This window comes from Homo sapiens, chromosome 7 (assembly GCF_000001405.40).
Source record: "Homo sapiens chromosome 7, GRCh38.p14 Primary Assembly".
Taxonomy (NCBI): Eukaryota; Metazoa; Chordata; class Mammalia; order Primates; family Hominidae; genus Homo; species Homo sapiens.
Window position 1 is genome coordinate 20269395 of NC_000007.14, and position 3731 is coordinate 20273125.

Sequence of the window (3731 nt, forward strand, 5' to 3'; positions counted from 1 at the left end):
ATTGTTTTAAACTACTAAGTTATGGGATAATTTGTTACACAGTCATAGCTTTAAAAAGTCTAAAGTAACAAGCTACAGAATAAACATAAAATATTTCTGAGGACAGTTGAATAGATAAATGGAAGAATGTATTGGAAATAATGGATCCAACGTTTATTGGATGAATGAATCCAAGATGGATATTCATAAAAATTCCCTCAGGTTTATTTTGTATTAAAATAGCCACAAACTTATCTTTATATTATACAAATATCCTTGCTTTTATTCCTTTGGAAATTTTAATTATAGGAATGGTTATTGTGAATTAAACTTTTCTTTGAGTTTTTATGCAAAACACACAATTGAAAGGCACAGAAGATACACTCAACAGGGAATCCACTTGCTTACTCACATTTCATACCACTGATGCTCTTCTCTCACATAGGCATGGCTATTTCCATGGAACTATGATGCTGAGAACCTCTGCCAAGAAGGCATTTATGGACTCAGTGTGCCTGGGGCTTACAGGTGACAGAGAGAAAGCAAGACATCCATGTAAGGAAGCAGGGTGCACCATCTTTTCCATGAGTAGTAACCATGGAATGTTCTCTTGATTAAAAGTTAGTCTAGAATGGGATCTGAGAATCAACATTTTTAGGAAAACATCCAAGTTTGGAACTGAGATATAAGTGGAACTCAGACAAGATATTCAACATAGGAGACCAAACTTGGATGTTTTCCTTTCATGCTCTTGCTTTCTCTAGGAGACTGAGAGAACTGAACTATGAGTTCTTTCTCTGCCCCACTGTTATAGTTAACAATAATTCCGAGAGGTGGTCTCACACACCAAAGGGAATGTGTGCAGAAGTAGCAAATGATTCAGCAGTTTCATTTTAAGCCTTATCCAAAAGTCTGTTCAATCCATGGGCTCTTTATACTTGGAAAAGATTAATTTTCCTACCAGATAAAATGTTTTAAGAACAAACATGGTTTGTTCTTACTTCTCTGCTGTATTAGTTACATTCCAGTCAGAAGGTAGAAACTTCACAATAATTTGAACAGGGAAAGTTTAATATAAAGAAATAGTAACAAGGGATAGGAGTCACGGGGAATTATGTAAAAGTGGGTGGGACGAAGAAAGCTCTGAGGGATAAGGGCTGCTGGGGGAGAGTACTCAAGAAAGGAACAGCTTGGAGGAAGAGAATCCTTCCCAAAGCTGGAATTCAGATCCCATTGAGGAGGGTATAGTTGAAGCAAACTAGATAATGGGAAATTTAACTGGGTTGTTCCAAATCACAGAGAGTCCCCAGCTGTCAGTTAGGCCAATTGAGAACTGTTTTTTGGGACACTGATGAATTTCACAGGAAGCTGCTTGAATAGGTTGCTGTTGACCTGCTGGAAAGCCAGCTGGGGCAGCAGCTGGACTCATGGGAAAGCCACCTGGAAGCAGTGGAAGTCCAAAGGATATATTGATACTTAACTGGAAAACCATGCAACTTGTTAGCTCCTCTCAGGAATACCATTGAACTTGTTGCTGGAAACAGCCCAAGGTGGGGATTGTGCTGAGGGAAGCTGGGGAGATGTAACTTGCTGCTAGATGTCAGAATATTGCTGAAAAAAAGCCATGCCTTCTGCAGGAGCTCAGCTAGAGCAGCACATTTGCAACTAGAGGAGCACACTCAAACCTGAAACGAAACAAAAACTATCCTCTGGTGTCCCTTCAATATCCTCTGCTGACAATGTTAAACAAGGCCCATGTCGTTATCACAGAGCAGGAAAAAAAGGGTGAATTTAGAGCTGAGAGGCCATAAATGGATAACTGGCACATCTACCTACAAACTAAATTAAAGGTTTTCTTTTCTAAGAGACATTTTTCCAAAATGCATCCTACTATATATATTTAATTCATGGGAAAATGTCATTTTCCTCAGAAGTAGGTAAAAAATATTATGTGAATTAGCATTTAAAGTACAACTTCTGTACTTTCTCATTTATTTGTCTAAGTGTCTCTGTTTTCAATCTAGACAGATAGCTGTACTACCAGGAAAACAACACTTGCTGTTAGTGTCTAACTGACAATGTTGCATAAGTCTATTTACTTAAAATGAACTGGAAGTGATCCTGGAAAATCTGTACATCTCTTTTTAATTTTAATTTTGAGAATAAGAGGCTTGGAAGGCTCATAGTATCCACAGATGACAGCTATATGGAGAGCTATTTGGTCAGCAACCACAGGTTTATCTATCCCAAATTCATTTTTCTCCTCACTTCTATTCTAAAAAAAAATTCAGTTTTTGAGTCATTTCTTGGATTAATTAACTATTTCTAGTATACCCTAAGAAATTACAGACGTAATTCTAAAAAGAGTAGCACAGTAAATAATTAAGTCAGTGCATTAGCAGAGGCAAGTAACAAGGAAATGATCTCTATTGGCGGCAAAAGAAGGGAATAATTTTTTTAATGTAGAACAGGGATCAGCAAACTTTTCCTGTAAAGGGTTAAATAGCAAATATTTTAGGCTTTGTGGGCTGGATGGCGTCTATTGCAACTACTCAACTCTGCTCTGTAGCATGAAAGCAGCCATAAGTAGTATGTTCCATTAAAACTTTATTTAGAAAAACACTCAGCAGGCAGAGTTTGGCCCATGTGTGGTAGTTAGCCAACCCCTGAAGCAGAAAAACAGAAGGAAAATTGGATAAAGGGGACATTTCAGAGGGGAGAAATAAGCCGCATAATAGCTCCTGACATCTAAAGATGTGAAAGCTACAAAAATTGTAAGTCTTGGCTCATTAGCCAGCTTAGAAATTTTGCCCAAGGAAGACGTAGCACAGTAGGCATGGACTATGGCCTAACACAAACCTGGAAGCTGCCTACAAGTTAAGCCTCACTTTTCTCTTCCACACAATAGAGAAATAATATTTTAATCACCTAGTTTTTGTGAGAAGCAAATAATATAAAGCTGCATTATAGATGCTCACTAGCTGTTCTACATCCTTTGCGTCTCAATTTCCTCATCTTTTATTAAGCAGCTTGCATTAAGTTAAGCTCTAAGATCCTTTTCAAGTTTAATATATGATGACGGGCATCATAGTTTTGGGGCTGTCCAACAAAGGATGTGTATCATAACTTAATCAAGCAGCGACGGCCTTTGTTGTCCACCATCACAGACTCATCAAAACTGTTTTTTTCTAGTGCAAAAGAAACACATGAGGACACTTTCAAGTTCTTCTATCAAACTGTCTAAACAGTGGCTCTCAATAGGAGGAGAGGGTTATTATCACTATGATTTTTGTGTATCTCCAGTATTGGGAGATCTACCAGCACTTATTTAGTGGGCAGGAGTCAGGGATGCTAGGCTTTCTGTAATGTATGAAACAGCACTGTATTCTGTACGGATTTTTATTTTCCCACTGGACATCACATGAGTTTAATACTTGTTAATTTTCTGAGCTTAGAACCAAATCCATTTCACTTATAAATACAAGGCATTTTTGAACTCTTAGTGTACAGTGATTTTTTTCAGAAATGTAAATACCATGTAAATTGATGGAAGATTTTACTTCGTTTTTATCAGTACTTTACGAAGACTAAAAGAAAAGATTTCCAAGAAAAGCACATCATTGATGCCAATGCCTGTTATGACATTTGAGTCATAAATGTACTGTACTCATATCAGTCTTCAGTCATATCCACAGTGTTTCTCTATGGGAAAGCATCTGACTGCCACATTTTTTGTTTTGAAAGCATCTGAC

The 3731-nt window shown here is 37.5% G+C and overlaps 1 annotated feature.

Moving 5' to 3' along the window:
• Nucleotides 1598-1777: an enhancer, noted in NCBI's record as "active region_25692". NCBI's record gives its function as "activates an Ori minimal core promoter by ATAC-STARR-seq in GM12878 lymphoblastoid cells {active_cell/tissue: GM12878}" and the evidence as "EXISTENCE:reporter gene assay evidence [ECO:0000049][PMID:35858748]".